The sequence below is a fragment of the Homo sapiens genome, chromosome 3 (assembly GCF_000001405.40).
Source record: "Homo sapiens chromosome 3, GRCh38.p14 Primary Assembly".
Lineage (NCBI taxonomy): Eukaryota > Metazoa > Chordata > Mammalia > Primates > Hominidae > Homo > Homo sapiens.
In genome coordinates, this window is record NC_000003.12 from 113,268,986 (window position 1) to 113,286,126 (window position 17,141).

The 17,141-nt window shown below is 52.4% G+C and overlaps 1 protein-coding gene across 38 annotated transcripts in view, besides 3 other annotated features; it reads left to right on the top strand.

The window, feature by feature from the left end:
- Positions 1–17,141, top strand: part of BOC (BOC cell adhesion associated, oncogene regulated) — a 76,534-nt gene that overhangs the window by 58,060 nt on the left and 1,333 nt on the right. For 7 of the 38 annotated variants that reach the window (XM_047449188.1, XM_047449186.1, XM_047449187.1 and 4 more), the window contains 14 exons: positions 1,816–1,959; positions 3,425–3,718; positions 4,084–4,356; positions 5,381–5,697; positions 9,110–9,272; positions 9,688–9,798; positions 10,264–10,470; positions 10,839–11,020; positions 11,573–11,678; positions 12,046–12,168; positions 14,426–14,647; positions 15,350–15,582; positions 15,695–15,873; positions 16,387–16,580. In XM_047449188.1, the coding sequence (XP_047305144.1) occupies positions 1,816–1,959; positions 3,425–3,718; positions 4,084–4,356; positions 5,381–5,697; positions 9,110–9,272; positions 9,688–9,798; positions 10,264–10,470; positions 10,839–11,020; positions 11,573–11,678; positions 12,046–12,168; positions 14,426–14,647; positions 15,350–15,582; positions 15,695–15,873; positions 16,387–16,580 (2,748 nt within the window). Of the gene's footprint in view, positions 1–1,815; positions 2,698–3,424; positions 3,719–4,083; positions 4,357–5,380; positions 6,688–9,109; positions 9,273–9,687; positions 9,799–10,263; positions 10,471–10,838; positions 11,021–11,572; positions 11,679–12,045; positions 12,370–14,425; positions 14,648–15,349; positions 15,583–15,694; positions 15,874–16,386; positions 16,581–17,141 lie in introns of those variants that run through there. The other 31 variants (NM_001378075.1, NM_033254.4, NM_001387920.1 and 28 more) reach the window with 17 other exon arrangements.
- Positions 3,926–4,788: an enhancer, noted in NCBI's record as "H3K4me1 hESC enhancer chr3:112991758-112992620 (GRCh37/hg19 assembly coordinates)". NCBI's record gives its function as "activates a minimal SCP1, AML or CMV promoter by ChIP-STARR-seq in naive H9 embryonic stem cells {active_cell/tissue: H9 hESC(naive)}" and the evidence as "EXISTENCE:reporter gene assay evidence [ECO:0000049][PMID:30033119]".
- Positions 7,030–7,129: an enhancer, noted in NCBI's record as "active region_20249". NCBI's record gives its function as "activates an Ori minimal core promoter by ATAC-STARR-seq in GM12878 lymphoblastoid cells {active_cell/tissue: GM12878}" and the evidence as "EXISTENCE:reporter gene assay evidence [ECO:0000049][PMID:35858748]".
- Positions 7,540–7,619: an enhancer, noted in NCBI's record as "active region_20250". NCBI's record gives its function as "activates an Ori minimal core promoter by ATAC-STARR-seq in GM12878 lymphoblastoid cells {active_cell/tissue: GM12878}" and the evidence as "EXISTENCE:reporter gene assay evidence [ECO:0000049][PMID:35858748]".

Consider the following 17,141-nt stretch of genomic DNA (forward strand, 5'->3'; position numbering starts at 1 on the left):
TTATCCTTTCAGGCTCCAGAAGATATTACTGAGATGCTGCTGTTCCATCCAGGCTCTCAGCACATGGTTCTGCATGCTGCCTGGGGAAGCTCTGTGCCTCCAGGCACACACAGGAAGGCTGCCTAATAAGCCCATTCATGGAGCCCCAGGGTTCCTTGGCAGGAGGTGGAGCTCTTCCCCATGCAGCAGAGCAATCTTTATAGTGGACTTCATTTTTCCCTCTCCCCGTTTGCATAGTAAATGCAGTTATCTCAGCTGTCACAGCTCCATGCTCAAGCCACAGTGGACAGACACGGCAGCAGGTCTAGGGAAGCCAAGACTTGGTCCACAGAATGCCAGAGGGGAAGGGGTTGTCCCCGAAGTCAAAGACAGCTTCTTTTCACAACTGACCCCATACTCAAGGCCAAGTAGACCTTACTTGACCTGACTCCACAGCTCAAAATGTACACCTTTTAACTGCTTGAGTCCAGGAGGCTAAGGTTGTAGTGAGCCAAGATCATGCCACTGCACTCTAGCCTGAGTGACAGAGTGAGACTCTGTCTCAAGAAAAAAAATATATATATATACCTTTAAAAATATTCTATAGATTTTAAGAGTTTTTATCAACTCTTTCTGGTTATGAAAGGAACATATGTTCATTATAGAAAACTTAGAGAATACAGAAAACTGTTTTCAAAAAGGTAAAACACCTAATCCAACCACTCAGAACTAACTGGAGACTAGGGGAAGAAGAGCATTAATCCCTGCTGTCCCCAGCAGAAGGTTGGCAGCAGCCTCTGGGAGAGGCCTGCCTGTCCCACCAGGGCCAAGGGTTTCTCCCACTCCATCTGGCACTTGCTAATAAGCAGCTCATACCTGGGTGGCCCAGCAGCAGGCAGGCACCAGGCTTGGCAACAGCACGGCTCTCAGGAGGGGCCACCAGGGCAAAGCTCAGCACTGATGGCCATAGCTTTACCTGCCAGGAAGCCAAATGCCACCCGAGTTGCTGGGGTGTCCAGGAGCTGTGACTCTGCCTCCTAGCTACAGAATCTGAACACCCGTGAGGCACCATCCCAGGGCACCTGTGGACCAGGAGCAGACAGAGCCTAACAGGCCCCTGATGTGGAAGAAAGGATTTCAGTGGCATTCATGGGGAGGACAGTGGTTGAAAGTCAGAATATTCCTCTCCAAGTAGCAGAAATGCAATAATGAGGCGATTCCGAGTGATGGCTATGACTGGTGGGAAGATTTGCTCATCATTTGGGAAGGGAGAATGATGGGAAGCTCCAAAATCAATTTCCTCCTTCCTGGAGGCTTGCAGGAATGATCTCATCTCTCATGTGTGCAGCCTGGGCCTCTCAATCCTTACAATAGCCCTGAGGCAGCATACATTAAGCCTTTTTACAAATGAGGAAACTGTATCAGAGAGATTAATTAACTTGCCCAAGATCACACAGCTAATACCCAGCAGACCCAGAGTGTGAGACCATGGCTGATTCCAAATCCTGCTTCCTTTCTAGCCTCCCTTAGCTCCCTTTAAAGTATAAAATGCTCTTCTATTGACCTATGCACTAAGTTGTGGCAGTTAGTCAGTCAGCCAGTCTGTTAGCTGGTTGGTTAGTTACCTTTTCTCTCTGGCACTCTGTCCTGCTTGTTGCAAGGTTTTATGGGGAGAACGGCATCTTAGGCTTTGTCTTGTGGGGACTCAGGTGGACATCAGCTCCTAGTGCCTGCCCAGCCTGTTCCTCTCCCTCCGTGCACCTCTCCTTTGTGGAAGCTGCAGAGTGAAGTATTCTGGACCCATCCCATCTTCCCCTGGCCCTGCCCTTTCCACAGGTAACTACCTGATCATGCCCTCAGGGAACCTCCAGATTGTGAATGCCAGCCAGGAGGACGAGGGCATGTACAAGTGTGCAGCCTACAACCCAGTGACCCAGGAAGTGAAAACCTCCGGCTCCAGCGACAGGCTACGTGTGCGCCGTAAGGCCCGGGCCCACCTGCTGGGGGATGGGGGATCACTGATGGAAGGGCTCACAAAGATGGAAAGGGAGGTAGATACCTGGAGGTGCCACATCCAAGCTCCAGTTCTGTGTGCACTGGCTTTGGCCAGGGGGACAGCCAGGGGTTCTCAGCCAGGGATTCTCTCCCCTCTGGCCGGCCTCAGGGCCAGCATCTCACAGCACACAGCACCAGGCGACTGCCTGCTGCCACACCTGCCTGATGGGAGGTTTCCTTCACGGTTACTTTGCGATTGGGATGGGTCAGAATGTGTGTGCTGGGACAGGACGGTGGGTCTTGTCTCAAGCTCAGCAGCGGACACAGCATGTGCCTAGAACAGATGGCCACGTGGGAGGCCTCCAGGCTGCTGTTCTGCCCTATATGAGGTCCCTGGGCCTGCACTCTCTGCACTGATGAGGTGTGCCCTGCACCACCCTCTGGTGAGCTTCCGGGAGGCCCACATGCTCTCAATGCACAGGAAAACAGCAGCTACCTTTCTGTGCGCTTGCCTGGATCCCTGCCAATTCAAAGGAGTGACATCTTACACGGAGTTAGGCTTAGAGTTGGCACCAGAGATGGAATCACTGTGAAGCTAATGAAGTTAAACTTCCATCGTCTTTCACTCACTGACAGAAGCCTCACAAGGCCCTAACTTTGTATGTATCATTTTCCATTCTTTTTGGGGCCTCCGAAACTGTATAAATTTCAGGTTTTAGAAAACCTGGGTGTGTCCCTGGTTGGCATATAAAGCGGAATCACACATAGTCCCCTTGCTCCTTGAAGGTTGCTGAGGAACGGCACACATTAGAGAGTAAACAGGCCTTTCAGTGAGTTCTCTGCAGTTTGTCCACAGTGTTGAAAAAAGATTACAGCTTTCCCAGCTGTGCACCTGAGGAAGTACATAGGTGATTTGCATTTGGGGACCTTGCAATATGAGAAATGCATGTGTTTAAACAGTGGATTCCATTCAGCTCAGCCGGAGGCCGGCTCTGAGATGCTCACTGAGAGACAGTTGGGCCTGAGAACCATAGGGTGGGGTTGAGAGCATGGCAGATTCTTGTTTCCCATCTCATCTTCAGCCTCACAGCGCACATACTGAGTGCAAGCAGAAAGAAATATCTGTACCATTTAAACTGCCTCTACACTCCCTCACCTTTCTCTCTTTGCCAGCACACAGTTAACTGTGCATATGTTATGTTGATGCTGCTGTTCTTCTGTGTTATCTCATTTCTTACTCATAACAGCTCCCTGCAGAAGCAGTCCTTGTTTCTGATAAGGACACCAAGCCCCAAGGGAATTCTGTAGCACGCCCCACTCTACATAGGTTGAAAGACCCGGAATGGCTGTTTGATCCCATCTCCATGCTCTCTGGGACTGCCTCCTGGGCATGCTCTACAGGACATCCTGGTCCACACGCCTTCTGTCCTTGCCCTCCTTGCCCCTCCAGGCTCCACCGCTGAGGCTGCCCGCATCATCTACCCCCCAGAGGCCCAAACCATCATCGTCACCAAAGGCCAGAGTCTCATTCTGGAGTGTGTGGCCAGTGGAATCCCACCCCCACGGGTCACCTGGGCCAAGGATGGGTCCAGTGTCACCGGCTACAACAAGACGCGCTTCCTGCTGAGCAACCTCCTCATCGACACCACCAGCGAGGAGGACTCAGGCACCTACCGCTGCATGGCCGACAATGGGGTTGGGCAGCCCGGGGCAGCGGTCATCCTCTACAATGTCCAGGTGTTTGGTGAGTGTCTGCTGTGGACTGTCTTCTGCTTGGCCTTCTCTCTGGTCTGTGCAGCCTTTCTAGAAATGTAACCCAGGCTCACAAAGGGTTAGCATCTTGTGAAAGGCCACATGCTGAGTGAGGAACAGGCATGCTGAAGAGTCAGGGCTCTTCGGATCCCAGAGTAAGAGCACGCAGTCCTGGAGCCCTCCTGTCATGATTCTGATGGTGGAGACATCAGACCTCTCCTTCCCTCTACTCTGCCCATTAGGAAAAAGCAACAGCCAAAGGGCAGGGGAGCTGCTCCTAACTACATCCCTCCCAGCCCATCTGGCCCTGGGACAGAAAGACACAGCCCTTCTCACCCTGCTCTGGTTTCCTGGCAGAACCCCCTGAGGTCACCATGGAGCTATCCCAGCTGGTCATCCCCTGGGGCCAGAGTGCCAAGCTTACCTGTGAGGTGCGTGGGAACCCCCCGCCCTCCGTGCTGTGGCTGAGGAATGCTGTGCCCCTCATCTCCAGCCAGCGCCTCCGGCTCTCCCGCAGGGCCCTGCGCGTGCTCAGCATGGGGCCTGAGGACGAAGGCGTCTACCAGTGCATGGCCGAGAACGAGGTTGGGAGCGCCCATGCCGTAGTCCAGCTGCGGACCTCCAGGCCAAGTGAGTGTAGCCCAGGGGTCTGAGATTCCAGCTGATGATTCACTGAATCCTTTTCTCAAATGAAATCTAACTTGGAACCCCAGTATATAAGATAGAAAAAAGTAGCTTTTAGTTGTAAGCTCAAATTTATATGAACTTAATAAATCTGAAGTACAGATTTTCACTAATGAAAATAACCCATTTAATTGCTGTATTTTAAAAAAATATTTCTGTGGAACCCAGTTTGACAACCACCACTCTAGTGCTTTGGTAAAGAAAAGCCAGTCTGTCCTTCTCAGCAAGCTTCATTCCAGTTGGGGCCTATGCCAGCTGAGCAGTGACCATGCTCAACCTAGGGAGAGGTAATGGGGATGCAGAGCAACAGGGCAAAGACCCTGCCCTCGAGAACTCCCCTATGGAGACGAAACTTACCAGGGAAACAACTTGAGAAAAATACAGCAATGAATATAATACGATGCTAAGTCAGCATTATCGGGTGCCCATGTCCTGTGGTGGGGAAGGTCAGGTAGAGGAGAGACAGGTGCTGGCAGATTCTGTGGAAACCTCCTGAAGGAAGCACTGCCCCTCCTGGCCTCACAGACTCTCAGAGGACATTCCCAGTTGCGTTCATATCTCATATTCAGTAGGAAAAGGCCCACATGGTGCCGTGGTGTTAAAATTCCACCATGAAGGGACATGTCCCCACCTCCAGCCTAGACCGAGAAGGAAGGCGCAGGGTTCCTGGGCCTCGGGAGAAAATTGAGTTAGTTCACTGGAGATGCACCTCACGTGGATTCAGGAGTTTGCTTGCCATACCCAAGCCACCCCTGAGCCCTGGCCAGGCAGGCCAGCCTGCCTTTTCCTTCTGGCAGGACAGGGACACCAGCGCTGTCTTCCACGGAGCCTGGCTGGGCAGCACAGAGTGGGTGGCGGTACAGCTGATGGTGGGCCCAGGTTGCCTCTCTGTCTTCTTTCTGTTTTCTCCCCAGGAACAACAGCTCAGCAGGTAAACCAGGAGACTAACCTTTCCTTCTGCTTCCTGTTGGTCCTCCAGGCATAACCCCAAGGCTATGGCAGGATGCTGAGCTGGCTACTGGCACACCTCCTGTATCACCCTCCAAACTCGGCAACCCTGAGCAGATGCTGAGGGGGCAACCGGCGCTCCCCAGACCCCCAACGTCAGTGGGGCCTGCTTCCCCGCAGTGTCCAGGAGAGAAGGGGCAGGGGGCTCCCGCCGAGGCTCCCATCATCCTCAGCTCGCCCCGCACCTCCAAGACAGACTCATATGAACTGGTGTGGCGGCCTCGGCATGAGGGCAGTGGCCGGGCGCCAATCCTCTACTATGTGGTGAAACACCGCAAGGTATGGCCCTGGTGTGGGGCTGCTGCCTCCCCTGCACAGCCTTTCCAGCAAGGCTGAGCAGAGTCACTGTCTCTTGGCCATCTCCCCTTGAGCTCCTGAAGCCTGAGCCGGTAATCCCCACCACTAAACAGGCCCTTCTGTCTCCTCCAGTGTCCATCCCTGCCACCTCCCAGGAAGCTGGTTGTAAGATGGGTGTGTGGGACCCTGGAAGGCCCAGGAAAAAGCCTTGTGCGTGCATCCAGTACTAAGCTCTATGCACTCAATTCCCAGAAGCTCACACTGGCTTCTAGTCCCTGAGGAGACCGTGAACAGTCTCCCTGGTAACCATCACCCTCCTTCTTGCTTTCCTCTGTCGTTAGTTGTTGATGTTACATTTTGGTTTTTTATGAAAGTAAGCCGTGCTGGGTACATACCTGCAGGAACCCTGGCATGGTAAGCCAGCTGTAATGCCAGGAAAACAAATATTTGTGAACAAGTGTTTTCTCTGTAGGCTGTGAAACACCCGCTCAGTTCTCAGAATCTGTCATGGCTTGGGTTGGACAAGCAGGCATTTGAGCTCAAAGCACATCATGTTGTTCAGACCTCAGCTGTTTCTCCTTGACAGAAGGAAGTCTGTCCAGGTGAATGCTTCAGGAGCTGTCAGGGAGGGAGTCTCGGGCTCTGACAGGATGCGGGGGCAGAGCCCAGCCAGGCCTATGCTCCTGGACACTGTGTCCTGTGAGGCAGGGCAGGGTCCCCAGGCCGCCACTCTCGCTCAAGGCCGTGCTCTTACCTGCCGTTACCCCACAGGGATGAGGACATGAAATTCCCTGTAAGAAAATGTCCTTGAAAATGTTTTTGTTCACTCCAAGTATATGCCATTTTCTTTCTAAGGCCATTTGATAGTAGAAAACTATTATTCTTAAATGGTTTTTTAAAAATTGTATGTGATAAAAGCATATACATGCTGATTTTGCTTATAAAAATGCTATGTGCACTTGATGGAAAGCATATGAATGTGGAATTAAAAGTCTTTCTCCACTCCTCCCCACCTCCACAAACAAGCAAGAAAACAGAACCAACCCTGCACAGTGGAGAGCGCTAGCTGTGCGGAAGCTGTTTCCCTGCCTTGGAGCCCTGGCCCCTGACTCCTTCTATTCTGTTTTTTTCCCCTTACATGCTCTCCTAGAAGTCCTTGGGTCAGGACAAGTCCACAGAGACCCTGGGGTTGTCAGAAAGACACCTAAGGCAGAGCACCCCCTATGCTCCCTCTGCTGCCTCCCCAGAGGCAGGGGGACGGGGCGAGCAGTTTCTCATTAGCCCTCCACCTGCTGGCCTCTTCATAGGCAGCCAGCAAAGCGGGTGAATGAGTTTTTAACAAAAAGCAGCATTGTTCACATGTTGTAGGGCAGGGCTGGTCCTAATCCTATTTCCCCATGTAACTGGACACCTCCATCTCAGAGTTGTAGACAAAGATCAGGGCAGGCCAAACGCCCATGGTTCCCAGGAGACAAAACCCAGCATGAGAGCAAGACTAATATTTTTCAGGCCAATAGGTGGCCGTGAAGCAGCCTCGCAGAAGAGGCAGATTGGCAAAGGCCATGCCGTGGTGATCCGGAAATGCCAGGCTCAGGCCGCATTCACCCCCTCAGTGTGTGTGACAGTGACTAATTACCCTTCTATTTCTTATTTTCATTTCTGGGCCCAGTGGAAGTGTGAGGCCAGTGCTGGGAGGGCAGGGTACATGGGGCGCAGGGGAAGTGAGAGTCCGGACAGGCCCCTGCTGCGTCTGGCTTCTCTCAGGCTCCAGCCTGGGGTCTCCTCAGCCTGGGGTTGCCAAGGCAGAAGTTCTGGCTTGAAAGCAGTTCCTCTCTTACGGAACTAACAAGTCTTAAAGATCACCCGAGAAAGAATTTGAAATCGAAAGTCAGCATTCGGGCTGTGTTTTTTCATCCCCCTTCTCTTGCTGGGGATTGGGAATCATTCAGCTAATTTTCACTGTTTCACATCCATGAAGCAAGTTTCATTTCCTGGTGCATCTGCAGACCCTGGGCTACTGTGTTTGGGTTTCCAGCACCACTGGGGAGTCTCAGTTTGTAAAAACGTCTCCCCTTGGAACAAATCCTGGAAGCCTGACAATGAGCCCAGACCATTCCTGTGCCTTGAATGGTAGGTTTTGTTCGACTTTGGAATATTCTGCTCAGAGAGAAGAGCTTTTCCTTACAGCTGTTTTCTTCCTTCAGCAAACCACAACTTGAGGCTCCAGCAGGTTCTCTGGGGTGTAGAGTTGGCAGTAAAGTCTGTTGTCCCGAAAGGTGGCGCGGCAAAGATGAGCAGCCTCTCAGCATCACCTGTTGGGGAGCCTGGAGCTCCCTTACTTTTTCCTTTAAAGAGCTAGGAATTTGAAGCTATTAAAGATTAATCCATCACAGTCACAATTCATCCACAGTTTTTAAGTTCTGAGCAAGGACTGAAGGCAGGAGCGGAAACAAAGAGGATTGAAATGATAGAAACTGCACTGGGCTGAGGATGTGGAGAGGGGTCTAGAGAGGCCAGGCATTTGCTGGGCATCTACTGTGCACCAAGCTCACTGTGGGGCACTTTATACAACTTCTCTCATTTAATCTTCAGAATAACCTGAGAGAGTTTATTTGCCTCATTGGTGAAATGCAGAGCTGAAGGGTCAGAGAGTTAGGGGACTTGCTCTGAGTTACACAACCGGGATTTGAACCCAGGACTTTGGATCCCAGACTCTTCTTCCCAGGATAGGGTGCAATGATGGGCATGCTCTTTGGAGTCAAGTCACCGTTTTGGTGCTCACTAGCCGTGTGGCCTTGAGCAAATTGCTCATTTCTCTAAACCTTAGTCTCCCTATTTGTGAAGTGGAAACAATATTAACACCAATCTTTTGGGCTATTTTGAGGAAAAGGAAGTAGCACCTATAAACTGCTTAGTTCCATGCATAGCACAGAGCAAGTGCTTAGCGAATGTTGCTATTTTAATGGGTGCTGATACTTTCGTTACCTTTCTCATCATTGTGTCTCATTAGAATATAAGCAGAGGGAACTGCATTTGGTTTACATACAGAAGGAGAAAGAAAACAAAACATGGAGATTCTTTGAAATACAGGGAGAGAAGGTCTTTGGAGGAGTTCTCAGCAATATCAGTCAGGCTGTCTGACTTCCCCCACTGAGGTTTCTTTGATGAGATCATTAGACGAGGGATCAGGGAGCCTGACTTGAATGTCCCAGTGAGGTTGGTGTCCCATAGCCAGGGGGGCCAGTCCGAGGCTGTGCCACCCTAACCCCAACCTGGCTTATCGTCCTTCCCCTTCTCCTGCCCTCTTGGGCTCAGCGCTGCTTTCTTTGTAAACCATAGCCCACTCGTAGCCCGAGGCTGAGATGCCGGTCTTTATACCAGCTACCTTCTCCAGCAGGTCACAAATTCCTCTGACGATTGGACCATCTCTGGCATTCCAGCCAACCAGCACCGCCTGACCCTCACCAGACTTGACCCCGGGAGCTTGTATGAAGTGGAGATGGCAGCTTACAACTGTGCGGGAGAGGGCCAGACAGCCATGGTCACCTTCCGAACTGGTGAGAGTCAAACATTGCCCCTTGCTTAGGGTTTCCGTGGGTCTAAGCAAGTTCCACTGGCCCAGGTGAGAATTCCTGCTCACCTTGCCCCAGCTGTTCACCTTGAACTTCATCTTTCCTTCCAGCTACTGCCTCCTTGTGGTTTGTGTGCTAGGCTGAGGTCCCAGCTCTCATCAGGAGAGTAGCCAGCCGGCCTCTCTGGCACCCCTTCATCCCTCTCTCACACAGGGGCCAGCAATAGTACCACAACAGAACCAGTCTCGGCCGAGGCTGAGCCCACACCCTCAGTGCCCCGGATGCTTATTTGCATCACTTTGTCATGCCGCTTAGCAGAGTCTCAGGCAAAAAGGACTCTGTGGGAGGGAGATCTCATGCCTGCTTCCTCCCTTGCTGACTACAACCCATTTCCACCCAGGACGGCGGCCCAAACCCGAGATCATGGCCAGCAAAGAGCAGCAGATCCAGAGAGACGACCCTGGAGCCAGTCCCCAGAGCAGCAGCCAGCCAGACCACGGCCGCCTCTCCCGTAAGCCGCTAGCAGCAGGGACGGACGCGCAGTCAGGACTGGAACTGCCTCAGAGGCCTGTTCCCATGGCTGAATGGGGTCTTGCTTCTGTAGGTCCAGGGTTTTTATGACATCTCCCAGTTAACCACAATGAGGAAATGTAGTTTGGAGCTTTTTAAATAAAAGGCTGGCATTGATGCTGGGATTGCTCACTGGGTGCATCCAGAGAGCAGCAGAGGCCAGAGCTGTGGTCCTTGGGCCTCCACACTCTGGCTTTGCAGAAGGATAGCATAAGGGGTCTTAGCTCAAAGCCCAGGCAGCCGTGGGGAGGTCTGATGTGAACACCAGTGGGTGGAGGGCTGTGGGGAGGAGCGGGCCCGTCAGGAGCAGGCCAGGCCCAGTGGGCATACAGCGTCATCTCACCCTGCTTCCTTCCTCACGTCATCTCACCCTGCTTCCTTCCTCACTGGATACGGTCTTTCCCAGCCCCAGAAGCTCCCGACAGGCCCACCATCTCCACGGCCTCCGAGACCTCAGTGTACGTGACCTGGATTCCCCGTGGGAATGGTGGGTTCCCAATCCAGTCCTTCCGTGTGGAGTACAAGAAGCTAAAGAAAGTGGGAGACTGGATTCTGGCCACCAGCGCCATCCCCCCATCGCGGCTGTCCGTGGAGATCACGGGCCTAGAGAAAGGTAGGGGCCTGGCCACACCGTGGCCTTGGCCTGATCCCCCAGCTGCCCCTTTCCGCCTGGAGGAGGATGACGAGCCTGGGATCCCCTTCTCTCGGCCCAGGCCCCCACCCACCAGCATGCCTCCATGTTGCTGTCTGTGGTGTTTACCACAGTCCTAAAGCCTTCTGCCTCCCTCCAGAAGAGCATCCAGAGCCATCTCCCCTGCAGCTCAGCTCTGACAGTGGCGGGTGTTCTTGTGAGGCCTTTGAGAACTTGCTTTGGGGAAGGGCTGCCCAGAAGACCCCTCCAGGTCCTGGGCCTTGAAAGGCCATGGGAGAATCAGAAGGTATTTCCCAGCTCCTGAGTTCAGTGAGTGTCCCTCTCACCAGGCACCTCCTACAAGTTTCGAGTCCGGGCTCTGAACATGCTGGGGGAGAGCGAGCCCAGCGCCCCCTCTCGGCCCTACGTGGTGTCGGGCTACAGCGGTCGCGTGTACGAGAGGCCCGTGGCAGGTCCTTATATCACCTTCACGGATGCGGTCAATGAGACCACCATCATGCTCAAGTGGATGGTAAGCGGGCCTGGCCGTGGACTGCAGTGGAAGACGGCCTCCCCTAAATGCCCTTCCCTGTGAGCCTGGGGATTAGACTCCCCCGAACAGGGCACCTGAAAGCTTCATCAGTGGAATTTGGGAGGCTCTTAGTGGCTGGAGCTGCTCTAGTGGTCTCCTGTTGATTCTGGTGCCTTGACCTGGTAGACCTCACCCTCCTTCCTGCCCTTCCCCTGACACCACAGGGGATCCCAACACAACTGTTCAGGGCCCCTTCTCAGCCACAGGGGCCCCTCACATGTCCAGGGAGATCAGAAGCAATTGAAGTCTTTGGAGAAATGGCAATTTGTTTCTTCTCTTCAAAAGCTTAGGGACCTCTAGGCTAAATAAAATAATGAGTAATCTTTACAACATTTTTCAGAGAACCTCAGGGATATCATTAGAAATCTTTGCCAGGGGTCCCAAGTGAAATTCAAACTCTGGACTGGGGTAGAACCTTCATACACCAGTGGTTTTGCTTTGATGATGTTTTCTCTGCCCATTGTCAACTTGTTTCTTCTCCATTCCCTATAGTACATCCCAGCAAGTAACAACAACACCCCAATCCATGGCTTTTATATCTATTATCGACCCACAGACAGTGACAATGATAGTGACTACAAGAAGGATATGGTGGAAGGTGAGACACAGTTCTGTGTTTATAGCTTCTGCGTGATATAGTTTCCTCCGCTGGCATGGGGGACAAGGTATTGGTGAAATCTGGTGAAGCATAAACCTGCATCTGGTGTGACACGAAGCTCTAAGCTCCGTGTCATTGACTCATTCATAATACCCTTGAAGCTGTCAACTTCATGAACCCATGTGATGATGGGACAACCTGGGTGGACACCTAGAACATTTCCTCCAGCGTTCCTCCACACGCCGCCCCTGTGCCAGTCAGTGGCATCCTCCCCCACACACTGCCCCAGCTGAGTCTGACTATGAGATTGGGATCAAGAAAACCATATACACATTGCCATGCACCATTCTCTGACTCTGTTTCCCAGGGGACAAGTACTGGCACTCCATCAGCCACCTGCAGCCAGAGACCTCCTACGACATTAAGATGCAGTGCTTCAATGAAGGAGGGGAGAGCGAGTTCAGCAACGTGATGATCTGTGAGACCAAAGGTGAAGCTCTTTGGGTTCTCTCTCCTGTCTTGGTGTTTCCAGCGAGGGAAGGCAGAGTCACCATTCCCTGTGCCTGTGCGGTGCTGGGCCTCTTTCCCAGGAAGACTCTTTGTTTTCCAAATACCCTCAGACTTGGTCATGTTTCACTCTCTACTCATTTGTCTGTGCCTAATACTAAATAGACCATGATGACACCTTCAAGGAACTTGATAATTAACTCATCCATGAAATCAGGGGATAGACCTCATTCTTAAGTTGGGAACTTCCTATAAATACTTTATTCCTGCAATGATATTTGGTGCTTACATGGGTTGGTTTATTTAACTGAACTACAATCCCATGAGATGGGAAAGGAAGTGGGCATGAGGAAGCTGTATACTGCAGCCAAGGCCATGCAGCCGGTTAGGGGTAGAGCATGCTTTGGGCCAGGATTGTCTTAACTACAAGACCAGCCCCTTTCTGTTGCACTTAAAACATGTTAAACATAGTCACATAATAACTTGTTAATATTTGCACATTGGTCAGATGGGGAGATAGCATTATCTCCGTTTTGCAGATACTGAAAGTGAGATAAAGCAGTTGTATTGCAAAGAACATAATCAGGAGAAGATCACAAAGGAATAGGAATAGAGACAGAACAACACATTTTTCTCTCATCAAGGCAATGGCATTCTCTCTCCTGCTTCACTGGCTTTCAGTTGTTCAGCAGATCCTCCCTGAGTGCCTCTGTGTCTCTCCCTGCCCTCTTCCATCATGCACACCAGAGGGAGGGCAGATACATGCACAGCCCAGAATCCTGGATCACCTGGTGCAGGGAGTGCCCAGAGGGAGGAAGAGACTTCATAAAGCCTTCACACTGGTCTTCTGGAAGGACCGAGTCTTAGGCTAGGATGAGGAGGGAGTGGCCTGGAGGACAAGGCTGGACATAGCTCCAGATGGTTGGGGTGTCAGGCACCGGGAAGGAGGTTATGGGAGTGAATGCCTAGGAAAGAGGCCACTGAGGATGGTGTGAGATGAGCCGGTGCAGCCAGGGAGAGCTGGAGCCACTGGAGGCTGTGAGGTGGAGGAGGGCTGTCAGTGGATTTGTCTGCTGAGATGGGTCACTGGTGACTGTGCAGGGAATGGGCTGAGGGTTGAGAACTGGGGCTCTAAAGTAAAGGTAAAGAGAAGGGATGGGTTTGAGTCTCTTTTCTAAGGAGGTGTGGGCGGGACCAGGGTCAGCTTGCATGCTAGGGCTGGGAGAGAGTGAAAGAAGTTAAAAATAAACTTCAAGGTTTCCAGCTGGAAGTACTGCACAGGTGATGTTGCCACTTATTGAAATGGCAACGGCAAGAAGACAGATTTCATGAGAAAGGAACAAGGTAAAACCACTTGGAGGCTTACTGAGTCTTTGACTCTTTGGAGACATTGAAATGAAGTGTCTTGATAAGGAGCAGAGCTCCTGCCCCGTGCAGGGGGTCCGGGTGGGGAGATTGGTTTGCGGCTCTTTAGGATATAGGTAGAAGTCACGGGACTAGGTGAGAATATACAGAGAGTACAGACGGGAGGAACCAGGAAGGCCTCCCAGTGTCTGTGGAGGCAGACGGCACAGAGAGGAAAGGAGAGGCATACAGAGCAGCAGAGAGGTGGGGGACATTAGGGGACAGAGTCCGAAAGCCGGGGGAGAAGATGGCCACGAGGGCCAGCAGGGTCAGATGCACCTCCTAACAGCAAAGCTAAAGTGAGGAGCTGATGGCCTTGACTCCACCTCTGAATTGGCATCTCACATGTACTGTGTGTCCTCGTGAGTCCGGGAACACCTGTCCCCCTGCTGTGATCCATGCTAATACCTAGTGCTTCACGTCTCAGTCCACCAGCAGGTAGCACGCTCTTGGGTGTCGGTAAATTCTTCCATTCCCAATTCTTTTTCTGGCTCCTGCATTTTAAATATTTTCTTCCAAAAGTTCACCAGTTCTTCCCAAAAGCACTACACCGCTTCTGCCGGAAGGACCCAGTCCAACTCTAGTGCATGGCTCACAGACATCTCGCTCTGCTTTGAAATATAAGGCTCAGGTCTCCGCCACAACACCAGATTTCACATTAGATTCCAATTTCATGCTGAGTGTGGACACCATTCAAATAAGAGATTTTGAGGCCCAATCTAGTGAGTCTGACCCCATTTCCCAAACCCATGGAATGGGGGTATTTTTTTTTCTATTTGTTGTGAAGGAAATATCAAAGAAACATATGCTGAAGTGAGTTTTGTCCACAATTACAGCTCGGAAGTCTTCTGGCCAGCCTGGTCGACTGCCACCCCCAACTCTGGCCCCACCACAGCCGCCCCTTCCTGAAACCATAGAGCGGCCGGTGGGCACTGGGGCCATGGTGGCTCGCTCCAGCGACCTGCCCTATCTGATTGTCGGGGTCGTCCTGGGCTCCATCGTTCTCATCATCGTCACCTTCATCCCCTTCTGCTTGTGGAGGGCCTGGTCTAAGCAAAGTGAGTGAGTGACGCTTTCAGTGGGAGGATCCTGGGTGGGAAATGGGGGCTCCACTAAGGAGGCCTCTGCCTAGGTCTGTGTCCATGGAAAGCTCAAGCCCAAGTCCCCCAAAGGTCTCGGAGGTCAGAGAACACCCAACGACTGGGCCCCTCCCCCAGCTCACAGACCTCGGCTTGGGGAGGAGGAAGGAGGGAAAGTTGGGCTGTCTTCTCTGCACCTTTGGAGCTCGGGACCTATGTTGTGCCATCTTCTGAAGTGTCCGAAGCTGCTCCTCTGACCTCACATTCCTACTTACAGTCCATCCTGCCTCTTCCCTGGGTGCGGAGCTGCCTTCAGCTTTCCCCTCTATCCTGGAATCTGACTTTTAGTCACTAATTTCTGCTTCAGATGGCAAAACATCTGGTCAGCTTACCTCCTCTAAATATTGTTCTTCTTTTCACTCACCGCCTCCTGCCCCCAAGCCCTGGACCCTGTATCTCCCCACCCTTCTCCCTGCAGAAGAGTCTAGGTGTCAGGTAGAAATGGGCGACACAAAGGAGACTCTAGGAGAAAATGTTCTCCATCGCTTGGGCACTGTCAACTCCCTGCCTACGTCCTTCAACCCTCTGTGGCCAGGAGCCTCCTGAGATCCTTGTGGGGCTTTTCCAACCCATCCCGGGCTACCTTGGCCTAAGCACACCTTTATTTTTCTGTCCTTCCAGAACATACAACAGACCTGGGTTTTCCTCGAAGTGCCCTTCCACCCTCCTGCCCGTATACTATGGTGCCATTGGGAGGACTCCCAGGCCACCAGGCCAGTGGACAGCCCTACCTCAGTGGCATCAGTGGACGGGCCTGTGCTAATGGGATCCACATGAATAGGGGCTGCCCCTCGGCTGCAGTGGGCTACCCGGGCATGAAGCCCCAGCAGCACTGCCCAGGCGAGCTTCAGCAGGTAGCGCATTCTTGGGTGTGGGCGGCAGGTATGGGACACCCAGGAGGGAGTGGCTGGGCTGCCTTGGGGGGCCTCCTCCCTCCTAGGGTCTCAGGCTGGGCTGCTGGGCCAGGCTTTCTTTAGTCAGGAGCAGATGCTCCTGTTGTTGAGTGAAGACTGGAAAGTTACCTGGACTCCCCGGCGTGGCCGTCTCATTACTCTTCCTTTTGAGCAGCAGAGTGACACCAGCAGCCTGCTGAGGCAGACCCATCTTGGCAATGGATATGACCCCCAAAGTCACCAGATCACGAGGTAACCAGGCCTCTCCCCTTTCACTCCCAAGCCCCACAGCCTCACTTTCCCTTTAGCTCCTCAAATCCAAGGCCTGTCACTGAGAGCCAAGCAGTAGTGCTGTACTCAGGGGTCCCCGTGACTGACAATCATGCTCCTCTGAACCATTGCCCTAATAGGCAGTTGTTGCATTTGCAATTGCGATGCCCTTTCTGCCTGAGGGCATGGCTTGGCATCTCGGAATCCTCCGTCACTAGACAGATCAGAAGCACCCACCACAACTGACTTTGCCCATGGGCCCCTGGACACCTGACTTCACATTCTCCCACATGGAGTAAAATGGAAATGGACTAGAATGATCAGTGGGAATGATGGTGTGGTACCTCTTGATGTTCAAAGGGGAGAGCAGTCCTTGCCCCATCTGAGCTCTCACCAGCTCTGATGCCCTCAGACAGGGAGACAGCCAGCAGGGGGATGGGGCGACAGGCCCACCCTGCCCAGCCCCACCTCCCCATCTGGGCTTGTGCACTGCAGGGGTCCCAAGTCTAGCCCGGACGAGGGCTCTTTCTTATACACACTGCCCGACGACTCCACTCACCAGCTGCTGCAGCCCCATCACGACTGCTGCCAACGCCAGGAGCAGCCTGCTGCTGTGGGCCAGTCAGGGGTGAGGAGAGCCCCCGACAGTCCTGTCCTGGAAGCAGTGTGGGACCCTCCATTTCACTCAGGTTGGTTCCAGGAGCAGGGCAGGGAAATTAAACAGGCTGGGGGTGACATGAGGTAGGCATCCACAAGCCAGTAGTAACAGTCTTCAAAGGTGGGGCTTGGTAAGGAGCCAGCCACAGCATTTATGTGGGAGGGATGGGGCATCGAGGGTGGCTGGCCACTTTCCTTCACTGCTGAAGGCCCAGTAGGTCTGTGGGATGTCCAAGTGGGTTCTACTGCAACATGATAAGCTGCGGTCCTCAGCCTCTGAGAAAAAGGCTATTTCTCCATTTCAGAGAAAAAAGCCCTTTTTGGTCTGTGCATTTCAAGGCCATTCACAAATTCCATTTGCTGCTCATCACACTAAGAGGCATTCTCTAATCACTCTGAAATGCCTTGCTTTGTTGAGGCTTGTCTCTTAATTAAGGAATAAGGTTGCCTCAATCATTAAGGAGCCAAATTCTTACAAACATCATCATCATAACTCTTTGTACTTCCACGGAACTTTTTCTCCAAGGAGTTTTGGGCCATTCACGCTAAGCCCATCCCATTGTCTTCCTCCATGCTAGTCTCCTTAGAAATCA